This window comes from Homo sapiens, chromosome 2, assembly GCF_000001405.40.
Source record: "Homo sapiens chromosome 2, GRCh38.p14 Primary Assembly".
NCBI lineage: Eukaryota > Metazoa > Chordata > Mammalia > Primates > Hominidae > Homo > Homo sapiens.
Window position 1 is genome coordinate 110875859 of NC_000002.12, and position 20047 is coordinate 110895905.

General features: G+C 39.5%; 1 protein-coding gene across 31 annotated transcripts in view, besides 1 other annotated feature; it reads left to right on the forward strand.

The window, feature by feature from the left end:
- ACOXL (acyl-CoA oxidase like) overlaps positions 1-20047 on the forward strand; it is a 385976-nt gene that overhangs the window by 143286 nt on the left and 222643 nt on the right. The window contains exon 11 of one of the 31 annotated variants that reach the window (NM_001365487.2): positions 10923-12159. The exons of the other annotated variants lie outside the window; for them this stretch is intronic. Within the exon in view, the coding sequence (NP_001352416.1) occupies positions 10923-10974 (52 nt within the window). The 3' untranslated portion in view covers positions 10975-12159. Of the gene's footprint in view, positions 1-10922; positions 12160-20047 lie in introns of those variants that run through there. 31 annotated transcript variants of the gene reach the window in all.
- Positions 983-1847: an enhancer, noted in NCBI's record as "H3K4me1 hESC enhancer chr2:111634418-111635282 (GRCh37/hg19 assembly coordinates)". NCBI's record gives its function as "activates a minimal SCP1, AML or CMV promoter by ChIP-STARR-seq in primed H9 embryonic stem cells {active_cell/tissue: H9 hESC(primed)}" and the evidence as "EXISTENCE:reporter gene assay evidence [ECO:0000049][PMID:30033119]".

Here is a 20047-nt window from a genome sequence, read left to right on the forward strand (position 1 = left end):
AGGTTAAGGCACACAGACTCACCTGCAGGTGAGTCCCTGGCTCAAGGACATGCAGGAAAGAAACAGTAGAACCACTTCTGGGGCCCTGGAGTCTGTGTAAATCCACTCTACTGTATTTTATAAAGCACCAGCTGGAATCCTCAAAGAAAAGTGGGGAGCCTGGATGCCTCTGCTTTCAAGGAGACTGGACACATCATCATATCTAGCTTCTTTCCACTGACTGCACGGTACTTTATAAATGTCCCTCTCAAAGTCAGAAGGCTTGGACGCATCCTCTGTGATAGTGTGCCTTGGCCCCAGAACTGTGTTTCTAGAACTTGAAAGCCATCTTGTAATGCTCCATCTTGGAATCTAGACCCAGGCAACTCCAGCGTGGCAGGTTTTTTCTTGAGGAGGGGCACCACAGGATACCCACACCCAGAGAGAGGCAGGCAGAGAAATGAGGTGGGCCAGCCACGGTGCCAGGGAGGGTTCTGGGCTGTGCAGGTAGAGGGAGCTCCCCCGAGGTGCCTGTGGTGTGCCATGCCCAGGGGCCGGGTCAGCAGACTGGGTCAGAGAGGCTGGGGTGCTTCCAGCCCAGGCTGAGGCCCGTCCCTCTGGGAGGGAGGGAGCAGGCTGGGCAGACGGGCCAGGCCTGTTCCAGGAGCCCGTCTGGGGTAGATTGCATCACACTGTGTGCAGCTTGTCACTCCAGCTTGCCCAGGACCCCTGTCTTCTGTGGCTCGTGGCTGACAAGTGCTTCTCCGCAGGCACCGTGGGGCCTCTACAGCCAGGAGTCAGGACAGAGTAATGGCGGCTCGGGGTCAGGTCTCACTATGTGATGGCATGGCGACGAATTTAACACACTGGCACAGACGGGTCGGAATCAATGAAATGATTCTAAAAGTATTTTTGGTCCATTTGTTTATTCTTTCAGCAATGTTTGTTTGAGCGCCCCCTAGGTGCCAAACCCTGCTCTAGGCATTATAGGGATACCATGGTGAACAAAACTGATGAAAATCTCACCTTTGTGGAGCTGACAGTCTAGTGGAGGAAACAGAGAGGAAAAAGATAAATCAATAAAATATGAATTATATCAGTGATATTGAAACTGAGCCTGGTAGGCCGGAGCTTAAGTCTCTCTACTACTCCCCATCCATGCTCTGGTGGCTTATTGCAACCTCCCTGGGCTGTGCCTGGTGGTGGCCCTGTTGCCCCCCATATCACAGAACCTCAGGAGGTGCCCAGTAGGTGACAGCTGAATGAAAGCAGAATGCTCAGGAAAGTTTCCTGTTTGCTGCGAGGGACCCTCCTTCTCCAGCACAGCCAGCAGCAGTGGGTGTGGCTGTCTCACAGTTCCTGCCGTCTTTGAGGCGGCACGCAGAGGGTCGTGCTGGCTGCCTGGGAGCTTCTGCCACCCTCCGCCTCATGGACTATCTTCTGCCTGCCCTCTGCTCTGCAGGCAGCAGGGCGTCTCTAGTCTTGATGCAAGCTGCCCTTGACTCTTCAACAGCCCCGAATCACCAACAGCAGACCAAGCTTCTGCTGCGGCCCGTGTGCTTGCTTTCTAGATGTTTTTAGAAAGATCTGTAACTTCTGTCTTAATTTATGTTGGTTTAACAAGAAATCACATTTCTGTGGGATCTCGCAAATAGGGTTTTGTTCGGTTGTTTTTTCAAACACTGTAGATACAGCTGAAAACAGAACTTAACCCTTTGAACGTAGCCACTGGGTTGATGCAGCTCACAAACCCACAGGATTTCCTTTTCCTACAGAGACTCCGCTCTACTTGGGTCACCACGGAGAGTCCATGTCACCATGTTATCTCAAAGTTACAAAGGTCAGACCCTCTACTGACATTGAGCCTGTGCATTACCGGAAACCCTGGAGACCAGAAAGGCCCACTGGGATGAGATTGGTCACCTGGAGGGTGAAGACAGAGAGGAAGGGAGGGAAGCAGTGCCCGGCTTCACTGCCTGCTGGCGTCTCACCCACTGGTAATAATGACTCTGCACCTGAGGGCCATGATGCGTTGCATCTGGGGAGAGCACTGCATCCCGCAGCCGTGCAGCAATCCTTCTTCCTGAGCAGGTGCTTTGTACCCTGGATCTGGAGGGGCACAGGCACTGGAAGGTTGGGTGTGTGAGCCTCAGGAAGCACTCTTGGATTATTTCTCAACGTTTTTAAGCAAGCTCATTTTGAAGGTTATCAATCTCATGTCAAAATTTAAAACAATCCCCATCCTTTCTGAAAATCACAGGCCTTTCCTGAGTCTGTGAATAAAACAATAAAAGCCGTGGGTTTTATGAACAGTTTCAGTTTGGATTTTCAAGAAGCAAAAGAAGGTGTCAAAAGAACGACCAAGGAATAAGAGGCTTTCAGAAATAACCAAGAACATCAAAAATAAAGAGGACTTTTACAAGTGAAAAATGCAGTAATCAAAAATGAACTCAAAAGAGAGATTAAATAGATTAGACACAACTGAAGAGAAACTTAGTAAGTGAGAAGCTCTATCAGAAGAAATTATGCCTAATACATGGAGACAAAGAAATGGAAAATATTCAAGAGGAGTTAGGAAACGTGTAGGAAAGAATGAACAGCTTTAATGTATGTTGAATTGATATGCAAGAAATAGGAAATGCAGGCCCGGTGCAATGGCTCATGCCTGTAATTCTAGCACTTTGGGAAGCTGAGGTGGGTGGATCACTTAAGGTCAGGAGTTCAAGACTAGCCTCGCCAACATGGTGAAACCCTATCTCTACTAAAAATACAAAAAAATTAGCTGGGCACGGTGGTGCAAGCCTGTAATTCCAGCTACTCAAGAGGCTGAGGCAGGAGAATCCCTTGAACCTGGAAGGCAGAGGTTGTAGTGAGCCAGGATCATGCCACTGCTCTCCAGCCTGGGCAACAGAGCGAGACTCCATCTCAAAAAATCAAAACAGGCTGGCACGGTGGCTCACACCTGTAATCTCAGCACTTTGGGAGGCTGAGGCGGGTGGATCACGAGGTCAGGAGTTCAAGACCAGCCTGGCAAAGATGGTTAAACCCCGTCTCTACTAAAAACACAAAAATTAGCCAGGCATGGTGGTGGGTGCCTGTAATTCCAGCTACTCGGGAGGCTGAGGCAGAGAATTGCTTCATCCCGGGAGGCGGAGGTTGCGGTGAGCTGAGATCACGCCACTACCCTCCAGCCTGGGCGACAGGGCGAGGCTCCGTTAAAAAAAAAAAAAAAGTCAAAACAAAACAAAAATAAAGTAATAGGAAATGCAGATAAATAAGAGGAGGAACCACTAAAAGAAATATTGGTTGAGAATGTTTCAGAATTGATAAAGGACACAATTTTTGAGTCAGAAGCCCAATCAAATCCAAAGAAAATGAATTTAAGAAGCCCACATCCAATCCCATTGTATTGAACTGAAGAGCAGGTTGCCCAAGAGAGATGATAGATTTCCCACACCAGGACAGCAGCTGGACTGAGAGGCTGTCTTCAGCAACAGCTCAAGGCAGATGTCCGTGCCATGGAACCTTCAAACCGTTGAAGGAAAAATGATGTAGCCTAGGATTTCTACTTAAGGAAATCCTCTTTTGAGAAAGCAAAATGAAGACACTTCAGAGTACAAACTGAGAACATATATTACCAACAATCTCTCCCGGAAAAGAACTGAAGAATATTCTTCAGGAATAAAGAAAATAATCTTCGAAGAATGAGATGGGTTGCAAGAAGACATGAACAGATAAATTGATTAACATGTATTTAATCTACACTGCCATCAAATGTTGAAATCAGTAACGGTATTGACTGATTTGTGGGAGGGTAGAACTTAAACGCTCCAGAACAGTTGTGTGAGGTGCATGTCTGGAGCCAAGCACTTAGGGCGTTTTTTTGCTCAGTAACAAGGGCAACTGAGGTTCCACCGGGTTAAATATGCATGCTGAAATGTCTATGGTGGCCACTAGAAGAATAGAAACAGACTATATAATTTCCAAATGAATAGAGGAAAAGACATAGATTGAAAGGAAAAAAGGGCTGGGCGTGGTGGGTCATGCCTGTAACCCCAGCACTTTGGGAGGCTGAGGGCAGGTGGATCACCTAAGGTCAGGAGTTCAAGACCACCCTGGCCAACATGGTGAAACCCCGTCTCTACTAAAAATACAAAAATTAGCCAAGCATGGTGGCAGGTGCCTGTAATCCCAGCTACTCAGGAGGCTGAGGCAGGAGAATTGCTTGAACCTGGGAGGTGGAGGTTGCAGTGACCGAGTTTGTACCACTGCACTGCATTCCAGCCTGGGCGACAGAGTGAGACTCTGTCACAAACAAAAAAAAAAAAAAAAAAAGAAAAGAAAAGAAAGGAAAAAAGAATGGATGTTGTAAAAGATACAAGAAATGCAGACATAGACATAGAGTGAAGAGTGCCCTCCCTGTCCCCTCTCAGTCCCCATTCACCTTCCCAGCGTGCTAGTCCTAGTCACAGGGAGCAAGTATCCTTCTCACCTACAATGCATTTAATTCGAACTGTATGAATTGTTCTGCCAGTTTCTTTTTTAAACTTAGCAGTGTGTCTTAGAAATCTTTCAATAGGGTTTATGTTATTGTGCCATTGTTTAGATAGACCAGAATTTATGTAACAATCCTTCTACTGACACACACTTCTGTTTTTATGCTTTTTGTTCCACCATTACACAAACAAGGCTGTGGTGAGTGACTTTGTACATGTGTATCTGTGTCCATATGTGACTGTTTCTGTAGGATGGGTTCTTGGAGCTAGAGTTGTTACATACAACTGTGGCAATTTAAACATTGCCAAACTGCTCTGCAAAAGACTCTACTGGCCGAGCACAGTGGCTCATGTCTGTAATCCCAGCACTTTGGGAGGCTGAGGTGAGAGGATTACTCGAGCCTGGGAGGCCAAGATTGGAGTGAGCTGTGATGGCACCATTGCACTCCAACCTAGGCAACAGAGTGAGACCCTGTCTCAATGATAACAACAACAACAAGACTCCATCAATGAAACTCCTGAGATTGAGGAGGCTCCTTTCTCCCACCTTCACTGACATTGGGTATGGCAAATCTGGTTTAGTTTTGTTTTCCTCATTGTTTCTGGATTTTTAATCTCTTAGGAAGAACTTCCTCATGTGGGACTACACAAATATCTCCGAATTTTTCTTTCTAAAATTTTTTATACTTTTTACTACATTTCACTTTTGAGATCATTAGAAGATTATTTTTAAGTTTCTAATATATTTTTTCCAAGTAGATAGCCAGTTTTCCCTACACCATTTTATTGAACAGTTCATATATATATATTTATATGTATATGTATGTGTGTATATATACACACATATATATTACATATCACATACATATCATATATGTAGATATACAGGAGGTTGCTTCAGGGTTTTCTAGTGAATTCCACAGATCTAAGACTCTTCCTGTAAAACATGAATTACTTCTCTCTTGAGGTTTTCTAGATTCACTTGTGAAATTATTAAATTATTTGTGTCTGATGCTCTTTAGGGATAAATCTCTGGTAACTTAAAAATTATATCATAAATTGCTTTCCAAAAATTATTTTGTTAACTCTTTTAATATAACCTGTTTTCTTTGTAATCATATATATATATATGCTTTATTAAGGTATAATTAACATACAATAAACTGTGCGTGTTTAAAATGTACGATTGATAGTTTTCACATTCATGGCATGGCACCATCGCCACAATCAAAATAATCAACATATTCATCACCCTCAAAAGTTTCCTTATGTCTCTCCATAATCTCTCTCTCCCGTCCTCTCGCTTTTCTCTCCCATCGCCAGGTAACCAATAATCTGCTTTCCATAACTATCAGTTACCTTGCATTTTCTAGAGTTTTATGTGGGTGGAAGAATACAGTATATACTCATTTCAGTCTGATTGATTCTTCTTTTAATCAGTGTAATTATTTTGAGATCCATTCATGTATCAGTAGTTAATTCCTTTTCATTGTAGATTCATATTCAGTTGCATGGATGTATCACAGTTAGTTTACCCCTTTACCTGAGGGACATTGGGTTTTTTTTTTATTGGGGAGCTGTTTCCAATAATGCTGCTATGAACATTTGCATATAAGTCTTTTTTAGGGACATATGCTATCTTTTCTCTCAGGCAAATAAGAATAGAATGGTTAGATCATGTAGTCGGTGTATGTTTAACTTTCTGAGAAACCACAACAGTTTTAAGTGGTGTACCATGTTACTTTCCCGACAGCGGCGTATGAGAGTTCCAGTTGCTCCACACTCTCAACAATCCTTAGCGTGGTCAGTCTTTTCAATTTGAGTGATTCCAATAGTGTGTAGTGGTATCTCATTGTGGGTTTCATTTTCATTTCCCTGAGACAAATGACACTGAACATCTTTTATTTGCCTACGCTTGTTTGCTATCCATTTATTTTCTTTAGTTATCTGTTCAAATCTTTCACCATTTAAAAAAAATTGGCTTTGTTTCATATTGGTGAGTTTTAAGAGTTCTTTATATATTTTGAATACAAGTGCTTTATCAGATATGCCTTTTGCAAATATTTTCTGCCAGCATGTGGCTTGTCTTTTTGTTCTCTTAATAGTGTTTTTCAAAGGGCAGAAGTTTTTAATTTTCATAAAACCCAACATATTATTTTTTTTCTTTTATGGATCATAAAAGGTCTTTTGGTTTTGTATCTAAGAAATGTCTTTCTAACCCAAAGCCACAAAGATTATCTTTTGTTTATTTTCTAGAATTTATATAGTTTTAGGTTTTACATTTAAGTTAATGGCTGATTTTTTTCCTTAATTTTTGCATATAGTGTAAGGTATGGGTCAAAATTCACTTTGTTGCATGTGGGTATCCAACTGTTCCAGGTCCCTTTATTGAAAAGACCATCATTCCTCCATGGAATGGCCTATGCTCCTTTTTGATGACCTTTTCAGGCCTTTTATTGATCATTGATCTAATCAGTTTTCTCTTTGTTTTAGGTCAATTTTGATAGTGCATATTTCTCAGAATATCATTCAGCAATCCCCAGCTATTGGAGTAAAAGACCCATGTTAACAAAGTTGTTTGCATGTATTTCAAAGATTGTTTCTCATATTAAGGTTCATTTACCAGTTTCTGGCTCAGCTTTTTCTGGGTAGACCCCCACTGATGTAATAGTGCCTTTTCCACAACAACTTTGTGCCAGTTTCCAGTGTCCCATCCCTCCATTCACTCTGTGTGAGTCTCTGCAGAAGGCATTCCATGCCCTTTTTGTCACTGGTTTTTTTTTTTTTTTTTTTTTTGAGACGATCTCACTCTGTTGCCCAGGCTGGAGTACAGTGACACCATCTCGGCTCATTGCAAACTCCACTTCCTGGGTTCAAGCAATTCTTGTGCCTTAGCCTCCCAAGAAACTGGGATTACAGGCATATGCCACCATGCCTAGCTAATTTTTGTATTTTTAGTGGAGACGGGGTTTCATCATGTTGGCCAGGCTGGTCTCAAACTCGTAGCCCCAAGCAATCCACCCGCCTCAGCATCCCAAAGTACTGGGAATACAGGCATGAGCCACTACGCCTGGCCCCCTTTCATCACTCTTAATAATCAGTCCTAAACTCAGGGCACACATTTGTCTGGTGTGCATAGGATAGTCCTGGTTTGCTCCTGTTGGCGAGAATACTTTTTAATAGCATCCTTTTTAGTTAAGTGTCCTAACTTTGGACAGTAAAATTCTTTCTCAGAAGGTCTTTCATTATCTGGCCTCTGCCTGCCTCTCCAGCATCATCTTGGGTTACTTTCCTAAGCAGTCCATTCCAGCCATACCAGCCTTCTTAACACACACAACTCTAAGTGCTATTTTATGTTTAGGAATGAGTAATACTTCCTATCTGATTTAAATGTATTTTATTATTACTTCAATAACCTTGATTTTCAATATTTATGAAAATTGTTCATACATGCTGCCTTTGAACTAGAAATTTCTTTTCTAGAAATGTACTTAAAGACATACTCCATCCTTTGTATGAGAGAAAAAAGTATGTATATTAAAGAATTGCATTATTTATCATAGACACATATAGTACACACTTAAATATTAGGGGAGGTTGGTTAAAGAAAAAGTAGTTAATTCATGTGATGGAGTACAACGTGGTGTTACAAAAAGTGAAAGGATGGGTAATAGGCACTGTAGAGGAGGCAAAATTTTACCTCTACCATCTTAAGGTTTTTCAGCTGGGCCTGAGAATTATATTGACATAAGACAGATTAACAGGAGCAAAGCATGCACATTTATGTAAGTTTTAAGTAATATGGGAACTCTTATAAGGAGAAGAAGACCCAAAAAAGTGGCAAAACCCAAATGTTTTTATACTAGGTCGAACAAAGAGAAGCAGTTGTGGAAAATTAAACTATGTAAGGAAGCTAAAGAAGATGAGAACTATCTTAACAAGGTGTGTTTGTCCAGAATTCTCTGAGTTCGTACTCCTCGTTAAAGAATGTTTCCTTTTTCCTGGTACAGGGAGGGTATCTTTCAAATGAGAGTTTAATCTCCTGTTTTCAGAAAGAAAAGGGGGAGACTAGGATTCCCTTCTTACATCTTTTGTTTTTCCAGTGCCTTTTACTCAATATAATACTTTTACCAAAGTTGCATATTTAGGGGTTACATATCCTGCCACCCTTAAGCACTGACATAAAAGGAGCTCAGAGAGATGTTATTAAGTGAAAAAAACTGAGCTACAGAAGAGTAGGTACTGCATGATTCTATTTGTGTAAAGAGGTTGGATGGATACAAATATATGTTGCCGATTATTATCCCAAAAGACAATCCCAAATGCTGTAACCCCAGATGCTGAAATCTTTAAAGATCAAAATTCCTGAAGTCTAAATCTCTGAAGTCTAAAATGCCCAATATCTAATTGAATCCCCATGCCATAATGACAGATTTGGAGTTAGGTTCAATAAAGGCTTCTAAAAGTGAATTTCAAGGTGTTACCGATAAAGTTGGTTTTTTCCGTTCAGCCCAATGCATTTGGCAGAAAATTCAGATCAGTAGATTGGCCACGAGATACAGCAACAATTGAAACTTCAGTTTAAAAATGTCTCCTTTATCTGCATTGGCATTCTTTCTAGCTGATGAAATTTCCAGGGCTTTTAATGAATTAGAGCCACATTTGCCTGAAGAAGCCATGGAAGTTACTGACTGGTTCAAAAATAATTATGTGTGTGGTAGGATAGGAAGGTACGCAAAAGTGTTGCTTCTGCCAAATTTGTGGTCTGTATATGAGTGCGTGGGGAATGGATTTCTCCTTACCCAAAACAACATAGAAGCATGGCAAAGGAGATGGGAACATTTAACAGGGATGCTCACATCAGTGTATATTGAATTATAAAAGAATTCCAAAAAGAGCAAGGCCAAGTAGGAAATGAATGTGAAATTGTCCTCTGAGGAGAACCAGGCCCTTAAAACAACAAAAAAAGCAGCTATTCCTCTTGATGAAAGACTTCAAAATATACTTAATGATTATGTAAGTTGGCCAGCTCTTAATCCCTGCGCTTTCCCATAATTAATCCCTGTAATACACATTTTCATGTATCAGAATTTCTTTTTAGTTGTTTTTGTTTAGTCACCACTATTTTAAATTGTCAGCATTATTATTATTATTATTTTTTTACAATTTGTTATGCTTCGTATTTCATATTTGCATCATTTTAAGACTGGAGGTATAAAGTATGTAAAGGCTTTTGGAGAGCTTTAATCTGCTTTATGCATTTTTTGCAAATTCGACTCCACGAAAGCCCATTATCACAACATTAGCTTTGTGTGTAACATTGTGTATGTACATAAAAATGTTCAAACTTCCTTAGTAAGTGAAGCGATGTCCTTTTTATACCTCTGTATTTTGGGTGTTTTGGTGACCCATGGAGGTTTTTGATCAATCTCATCAAAAAACTTGGGTTGTCTGTCACAATATTTCAGATGTATGCAGTTATATAAGCTATTTCTTTTGGAATATGGCTCAGCTGCTCGTAGCTGTTACACCCTTGCAAATGTTGTTAGTATATCTGAGTGTCTATACAGAAATATGTATGTTATTATTGCCTATTTTATTGTGTAAAGTGGCCTATGAAGTGTTCTGTCATGTTTTTATATGTTTCTCAAATCAATCCCCCTTTAAAAATGTAAATCAATGTCTTTTAAATAATTTTAAAAATTATTTTGTCCAGAAGTATATTTTTGGGATTTTTATCTTTTGGGATTATGGCCCAAACCCATATATATACATGCACGTGCTTGTGGATATGTGCGTGTGCACACGAAGGCACATGTGCTACCTGGTAGGATGTATAATATAGGGAGTTAGCAGGGGTGGAGAAGTAGGGTGTCTCTTCTTTTCATGTCAATTTTTAAACCATACACATATATTATTTTAATGTTAAAAACTAGTTTGGCATTTTTAACCATGGGTCGGCCACATTGCACAGGCATTTTCTCTGATGGTCACAGCATTCTTCCCCACTGGCTTGGACTCTGGACTTTACCCTATCCTTCTTTTTCTTTTTTTTTTTTTTTTTAATGGATTCTCACTCTGTTGCGCAGGCTGGAGTGAGTGGCATGATGTTGGCTCACTGCAGCCTCCACATCCTGGGTTTAAGCGATTCTCCTGCCTCAGCCTCCTGAGTAGCTGGAATTACTGGCATGCACCACCACGCTTGGCTAGTATTTTTGTATTTCTAGTAGAGATGGGGTTTCACCATGTTGGCCAGGCTGGTCTTGAATTCCTAACCTCAGGTGATCCACCCACCTCGGCTTCTCAAAATGCTGGGATTACAGGCTTGAGCCACTGCGTCTGTCCCTCCCCTATCCTTCTGAATGCCAAGTTTCACCCTTTGACTGGAGTTAGCCTTGCGGAAGAACTGAATTTGTTGCCATCTCACTTTTCTGTCCCTTTTTCTAGGTCCAGAATCATCTCCCAGAACTGCTGTTCAGCTCCAGCTGGTCTTTATTGAGCCCCTCTTGTGGACCAGGCTAATTTCCTGAAAACTGGTTTTTGCTAACGTTTCTTACGCTTGCTCGTGAAATCAGCCACTTAACTGTTCTGGGTTTTCCCGTGGCAGATCCCTATAGGCTTCTCACTGCACTATCCCAAACTTTTTATCTGAGAATGTTGTGTGGCAAGATGTCTGCAGAGTGCCGCTTAGGAGATGCTGGCCTGGCGTCCACGGGTCTGCTGTGTATGTCTCTCCAGGCAGATGGCCTGTCTCTGCCTGGCAAGGACGATCTGGGGTGGAAAAACTCTGATCTGAAAGTGAAATCATTGACTCCGTTACCATGTTCTGAATTCCCAGATCTCCCTGATATGGAAAGTGAAAATTGGCTTCTATTACACAATGCATCAAAATTCTTTTGTATAGGACCAGACCACTGATATCAAGGGCAGTGCACTGACTTTCAGTTCCTCTGCATCCCTTGGTCATGTTCCCACCTTTCAATGGGAACAGAGAATAAAAATTCCAGCTCTAGGGCCCAGCCTAGTGGCCACCTCTCACGGACAGGCACCCGGCTGCTCAGTGTTATCCAATTACTAGAGGCCATTCCTAGCATTTCAACTTGGGGAATTAATTTACTATTACTTTATTTTTATCTTTAGAGACAGAGTCTTGCTCTGTCACCCAGACTAGAGTGTAGTGGCATGATCATAGCTCACTGCAGCCTTGAACTCCTGAGCTCAGGCAATCCTCCTGCCACAGCCACCTGAGTAGCTGGAACTATAGGCATGTGCCATCATGCCCAACTAATTTTATTTTTATTTCAGTTGTAGAGATGGAGCCTTACCCTGTTGCCCAGGCTGGTCTCTGACTCCTGGTCTCTAGTGATCCTCCTGCCTTGGCCTCCCAAAGTGCTAGGATTATAGGTGTGAGCCAACATGCTGTCCCCATTATTGACTGTTACCCTAAAGTGTGTGTTGCCTTTCTAGTTTGAGTAGAAAGTCCAGCATTATCTTTTTGGATAATATCCAGGTTTTGCTGTTTCTTTCTTTATTTTTCATAATGAGAACATTTGCTCTCTTGCTGACATTGGAGGGCGTCTGTTTACCTCTCCTGTAGGCACACAAAATTCCCAACGTTTATTTGAAGAAAAAGACAATTATTTGAGTAATTTGAATAAATAAACATTTTAAGTGATTCCCAAAAGACTTTCTCTGCTGATAAATATTTAGTGTAGTTTTAATGATTAGTCTCCATTTGTTTTCTTTCTTTTGTAGCTGGGGCTTCTATAGTCAATACAATCTCAGGCATTTGCTTTCTTTTAGAGTAAATGGCTCAAGGAAGACCCAAACCCAACCCCTATCACCCTGGGCACTGCTCAGTGGGTCGTATACCATCACGAAATTACCCCAGTATGGAACTGGAAGGGACGGGAAGTGTTTAGGATCAAGTTCCAACATGACCTAGGCTTGTCCTGGGACTTCATGCAAATGATTTGGCTTTACTGGGACTTGGTTTCTGCTATAATAGAAATTTGGGTTTACTAATACCTCCCTCAAAGGATTATTTACTGCTGTACCCCGTGGATGCACCCAGCAGAGGCCCCACATGTGGCAGATAGAGTGTTGCTCCATAAATCCTCATTTCCTTTCTTTATCTCAGGTACACTTAAACACAACACTCCATGATAACCAGAATCTTCTTCACTCCTCCCTTCCTATATCCCAAGAAAAAGTCAATGGACCCTGACTAATAGGGCCCATATTCTCATAGGATACTGCACGAATGTCCTTCTGATTTATTTTGCCCCATTTGTCTTGACAGTAGTGCTAGAGGTTGGTGGCATGGATTTCAATCTGTGTGAGTCTTAAATCCTTCTACTTTCCCATTACTTGGGCTGGTGATTATCTAAAGTCATGGCTACGCCTGGAGGACAGGGAGGAAAAGCAAAGATCTCATTTGAACTTAAGGTACTTTTGTGGTTTGCTTAGGAGGAGGAAATTGCAGATTCAAATTATAATGGAACTTGAAAGAAGTTTTTAGTGTCTGGGGTAAAACTGTGACAGAAGGTGCCATTTAAAACTTATGAATAATGTACAAGCAAAAGAAAATTCATAGTTAGGAGAGCAAACCTGTCTGTCTAAAGAGAATTGCAGGAAAAACCAAAGACGCCAGACCAGTAGCTTTTGTTCAAGAAATTAGTTTAATAACACAGCCAAATTTAGAATACCTTCTGCATGGAGTGTTCCTGAAGTGAGTTTTGTCTTGCATTTCAGAAGTCTTCTACTTTATCATCAAAATGAACATCCGAGGACATTTTAATTGCTATTTTGCACTCAACTGTATAGAACCTACTAGCACTCTGTGCATTTACCACACGAGTGCACAAAGTGCCACATGGATGTCTAAACACCTATGATGAGATGCAGGCAGTGCCTCATCAGTAGCAGCAAGTGGAAATTCAAGAGCCCATGGTGAAGTAAAATTAACCACCCCAACTAATTTTTTTTAAAACAACAGCTTTATTGATATATCATCCACATTGTGTAAAATTGTTTCATTTAAGGTATGCCATATGATGGCTTTTAGTGTCTTCAATGTGTTGTGCAGCCATCACCACAATCTAATTTTACATTTCTATCAACCCTTGAAAGAAACCCTGTATTCTTTAGTAGTCACTCCCAATTACCCCTCCCTGCAGCCTTAGACAAGAACAAATCCACTTTCTGTCTCTATAGATTTACCTATTCTGGCCATTTCATTTTAATAAAATCATATAATAGGTGGTCTTTTGGAACTGATGTCATTCACTTGGCCTACAGTTTTCCAGATTCAAGTGTGTCACAGCATGTATTGGAATTTCATTTCTTTTTATATTCCAAATAGTATTCCTTTGTATACCTATACCACATTTTATTAACCCATTCATCAACTGATGGACATTGGGTTGCTTCCACTTTTTGGCTAGTGTGAATATGCTCCTATCAACAGTCATGCATGTTTTTATTTCTCTACCTTGTAATGGAATTGCTATGTCAAATGGTAACTCTATGTTTAACATTTTGAGGAACTACCAAATATTTTTTCAGTGTAGCTGCACCATTATATATTCTCACCAAGCAGTATGTATTTCAATTTCTCCACATACTAGCCATACTTGCTATTATCTGCCTTTTATAACCATTCTAATGGATGTGCAGTAGTATCTGATTAGGATTTTGATTTACATTTGCCTAATGACTAATTATATTGAACATCTTTTTATGTGCTTATTAGCCATTTGTATACCTTCTCTGGAGAAAGGTCTGTTCAGATTCTTTATCCATGTTTAAAATTTTGTTATTGATCTTTTTATTAGTGAGTTGGATGAGTTCTTTATATATTCCAGATATCATTCCATGATGAGAGATATGATTTGCAAATATCTTCTCCCATTCTGTAGATTGTCTTTTCACTTTCTTGATGATTTTCTTTAACTTTCTTGATGACGACATCCTTGGAAGCACAGAAGTTTTTAATTTTAATGAAGTCCAGCTTATCTTTGCTTTTGGTATCATACCTAAGGAACCATTGCCTAATCCAAGGTCATGAGGATTTGCTGCTATGCTATCTTCTAAGAGTGTTATAGTTTTAACTCCTGCATTAGGTCTGTGATCCATTTTGAGTTAATTTTGTGTATGGTGTGAGGAAGGGCTCAAACTTCTTTCTTTTTCATGTGAATATCCAGTTATTTCAGTACTATTCATTGAAAAGACTATTCTTTCACCATTTGTTTATCTTGGCACTCTTGAGGAAAAATCAATGGAAATAAATATAAGGATATATTTCTAGACTCTCAATTCTATTCCATTGATCTATATGTCTATCCTATGCCAGTATCACCTTTTCTCAATTACTGTAGCTGTGTATCAAGTTTTCCAATTGAGAAGTGTGAGTCTTTCAACATTATTCTTTTTTTTCAAGATTGCTCTGGCTCTCCTGGGCCCCTTCTAATTCCCATGTGAATTTCGGTACATCTTGTTGATATCTGAAAAATGAGGAAACTTGGATTCTGATGGAGATTACATTGAACTTGCAGCTCAGTTTGGGAAGTATTGCCATTTTCATAAAATGTCTTTCCATTTATTTAGACCTTCTTTAATTTCTTTCAACTTTTTTTTTGTTTTCAGTACACAAGTGTTATATTTCTTTTGTTAATTTGTTCTGAGTCTTTTACTTAGCAGCTATTATAAATGGAATTGCTTTTTAATTTTTGGATTGTTCATTATTAGTATATAGAAATACAATTAATTTTTGTATATTTATCTTGTATCCTACAACCTTGCTGAACTTGTTTTTTAATTCTAACTGATTTCAGTGGATTCCTTTGGATTTTCTATATACAAGATCATGTTATCTGCAAGTAGAGATAGAGTTACTTCTTTTCAAATAGAAATAGCTTTCTGGATACCTAAAGGATAATTATACACTCTTCCTCATTATAGTTATAAGTATTTAAAAAGTCTATCTTGTACAATATTAATATATTCACCTCATCTCTTATGGTTGCTATTTATAGATCTTTTTTTCCATCATTTTACTTTCAACTTATTTGTATCTTTGAATCTAAAATATGTCTTTTATCTAGAGAATTAGGTGAAACTTGTTTTTAAAATCTAGTATGACAATACCTGCCTTTCTATTTGATGCTTAATTCACCTACCCAGAGAAGACCTTTTGTCACACTGAGCTATTGGGGTAAGGTGGGGAGTGTAATATAAGTGGATTGTGGCTCAAATACTACAGACTCTCATTGTTTTTACTGAAATTTAGATCTTCCTCCATTTGCTGTATGCCTTAGAGCAGTTTCCAGAGACTTTAAATGTTTTAGAAATCAATTTCAGCAATTAAATGGAAAGTGCTTTGGTATCAGTACCATCTTATACAGGTCAGCAAAAGCAGTGGAACTAGGCATGAAATTGGGTTTTGTTTTTGAGCAAAGTTCAGAAGTGAGCTGCTATGTCAGGTCCAGTCCATGACAGGGGTGGTACAAGGACCTTGGCCTCCTGACTCTTGGCAGGTTCTCTGTGGTCCAGCTTCCACTTGCCTCCCGAAGCCTTTTTGAAATGCATTCACTCAGGCTGTCATCTTGTGTTGCATTCTTTGACATTCCATGATTTGGATAATTTCTAGTATCCAAAGATCTTACACAAAAACTCAGATGACCTTGTGGAAGTTTATTCCCAGGCCATATCTCTGCAAATCAGATAAATTGCTTTTGTCACAGGCATAATACATTGTTAATTTTGGAAATGCTTTTTGTAAAAATAACAAGAGTCAGGTTATTTTCTTTTTAATTTTCAATTATGTGCAAGGATACATCAATACCAAGAAATGAAATGGGCTTATCATAACCCAGATGATGGTGCTGACCTTTGGGATGGAGCCAGGTAATAGATTAGGCAGACAACAGATGGTGGTGAAATCTGGGTGGCAAAGGAAGAACGCCCTGAAATGAAGTCCTGGGAAACCTGCAGCTGTATTAGGTACCATGCAGATTAATCTGTGGCTGAGGGGTAGCAAACCAGTCAGGGGTCTGTTGGCTGGCTCCAGCTGAGGGGATTTCTCATTGCTGTGCTCTGGGCCTTGATGACAGATGTGTTCATCCAACACCTGACATCCAGATGTTGGACATAAATGGCGCTCAACCACTGGGTCACCAGAAAGTTTTCAATGGAGGATGAAGTGTTTAGTTTTTGCTCGGAGGGGTGGTTATTATAATAGACCCACCCCAGGATTTTTTTTCTCTTAGGAAAATATTCCTGTGCACTGAAGACACATATTCTGTTGCCAGCAAAACAGTAAAGTTTGCTTTTACTTATTTTTTCAATTGTAAAATCAAAGATGAAAAAGGGATGCCTGAAAAAAGCTATATCCAGGGAGGCTCAGGACTTGTATTAACTTCCTGGCAGATTAGAAAATAAAGTGGGAGAGAGGTTAAAGCAAGGACTTGTCTGTCAAGTCAGTTGGAAGGAGGAAGATCAAGGGAATTGTCTGGGAAGAGGGAATGGCTATTTTAAGCAGGTATAAACAGGAGCCTGTTCACCTTCATAGATCTTTCTTGGATCAGCCTAGTGGCACTTGCTGCAGTTAACTATGTTGGTAGATTTTTTCCCATATCCCACTGGGGTAGACCTACATCTCTCACCTCTGCTCATCTTTAAAAGTTAAAACAAACCACAGAGTAACATAGGCAAAGTACAATAAGTGACCCAACATTTCATACAGTTAAAAAATGCTTCTAATAGGAAAAAATCCCAAAGCAAAAGTATTAGGTTAAATTGTTTATATAAAAATTAAAAGTGTACATATTTCAAAAGCAAAGCTAAAACTATGTCACAGTAGAGACATCCAAACAAATATGACTACCAATGGTTTAATTTTTTTAATATATAAAGAGCTTCTATAAATAAGTAAGAAAAATGCTAATACCACAGTATATAAAAGGGCAAGCTATGGACGATTTGAAGAAGACATATACATAGCTAATAATTAATATGCATATAAGATAGAAAAATTATTAATAATCAAAAAAAGGCAAATTAAAATGAGATAATATTTTACTTTGTTGAATTAGCAAAGTCATTTGAAAGGAAAAATACTCAGCTTTGGTAGGAATGTATTAAGATAGGCAAGTTATACACTGGGAGAAGGAATAAAAATTGATATAATCTTTCTGGAGAGTGAGTTGGTGATGTGTGTCAAGGGCTTTAAAAAAAGTTTGCATGTTTTGATACAGTAATAGTTTTCTATAAATTTACCCTAAGGAAATAATCATGAAAATTATGCCTTCAAGTATAGTTAATGACAAGAGGAATTGCATACAACGGAATATTAGGTAAATAGAAAAGCAGGATATATACCTCTTCATGATATAGCCCTAATTGAATATGTTAATATATGTTGAAGATATTCATTATCCCTTGATTGTAGCATATATACCTGTCTGTTTTTTTATTTTGACATTGAGATGTCTGTAATTGTGCACACATTTACCATGTAATATTTTCTTATTCCTCATAGATTATTATTAAATTAGTAGTACATCTTTGAGAGATATTTTTTAAAGGGAGAAAATATGACATATGTGTTACGTATTAACATCTGTGCATGGCCTCTCTTTCTCTCTCTTTGTCTCTGTTGTTTATCGCTCTTTATATGGAAGCTAAATAAATTTAACATTATCAGTCAATTTTCACACTTCTGCCAGGTGAACTTTCTAAAAGTCGTATCTAAATATGTCATATTTGAAACCTGCAATAGAACTTACTTCCAGGAAAATGTAGTGGGTATACTTTTCTCTATTCCTCCCACAACAACTAAAAAGCCTGGACATCATAAATAGAACAGATCTAAGAAGACTTTGAAAGGTGGAGACAAGAATGATGCAATAGAGAGCTCTCTGGTTTTCTTTTTGTCTTATTTTTCCTAGACAAGGTACTGGTGAAGCTGACCACCCAGAATCACCAGTAGGAACAGACCAAAAAAAAAAAAAAGCCCAAATGAGCCTGCTTTCTCTAGCCAGAGGACCAGAAATGGGACACCCACCAAGACAGAAAACTTTTAGCCAAATGTTCTACTTCAGTCAAACACCACCAAAAAAACTGGTGTCCCACCCCATCCATGCCAACAAAAGCTGAGTGGGGAGTATAGACTTCTGCCCTCCCCAGGCTGTAATGAGGTTCCGTAACTCCATTATCAGGGTGGTGTCAAATAAAAGCCAAACAGGGATCTGGGACTGGTATCCCTGCCCTGCTAGGAAGTAACAGGCCCTAGCACCTGTGGCTTCAGGAGAGACCATGTGGGGATCCTGGACACCTACCTCAACCTAGACAACTCCTGCCACCTCCTGCAGTGGTGGTGTTACAGGAGGCCAACTAGAGTTAGAACTGTCACTGCTCTTCAGCAATTATGACACTACACCCACTGCTGTGCCAGTAAAGACTATATGGGGAGCCAGAACTCCTGCCCCTCCCTAGCAGTAATGAGGAGCCCAGCACCATCACTTGGGTAATAGAGAACAAGTGGGGAACCTGGACTTCTACCTCTGCCTGTCAGTAATGACTCCTTTCCCTGCCACAATACAGTCAGACCAGATGCTTAAATAAGATCTAGAGTCTCACAATATAACATGAAAATATACAGTTTCAAATGAAAATCACTCACTATATCAAGAATCAGGTATATCTCAAACTGAATGAGTAAAGAAAATCAATAGGTGCTAACACCAAAATAACAGAGATGTTAGAGTAACCTGAAAAATATTTTAAAGCAGCCATCATAAAAATGTTTCAAAAAGAGAAATGACAAACATGCTGAAACATGAAAAAATCTCAGCAGAAAATATAAAGTCTAAGCAAACAAATAGAAGATATAAAGCAGAACCAAGTGAAAATTTTCAAATGGAAAAATATATTAACCTAAAGGAAAAACTAATTGGATGGTCTCAACAGAAAAATAAAGAGGACAGAGGAAAGAATCAGTAAACTAGAAGATAGAACTATAGAAATTACCAAATCTAAACAGAATATAGCCTGGAAAAAAAGGAAATAAAGAAAAAGTCTCAGGAACTTGTGGAACTTTAACAAAAGATCTAACATTTGTGTCTTTCAAGTCTCAGAAAAAAGAATGAAATAGGAGGGCTGAAAAAGTGCTCAAAGAAATAATGGCTGACTTCCCAAATTTGACAAAAGACATATCTATCGATGAAAGAAGCTAAGCAAACCTCAAACAGGATAACCCAGAGCAATTCACACCAACAGCCATCATAGTGAAACATCCAAAAACTAAAGACAAAGAAAAAATCTTGAAAACAATAGAGAGAGAGAGAGAGAGAAACAATTGGAATCATAGCAAATTTTACATCAAAAACCATGGAGGCCAGAAAAAAAGTGGCATGACATTTTTCAGGCACTGAAAGAACTATCGAGCCAGAATTCTATATCCAGTAAAAATGTCATTCAGGAATGAAAAGGAAATCAAGGCACTTTCAGATGAAGGGAAACTAAAAGAATCCTAAAAGAATTGCTAAGGAAATTTTTCTAAACAGAAAGGA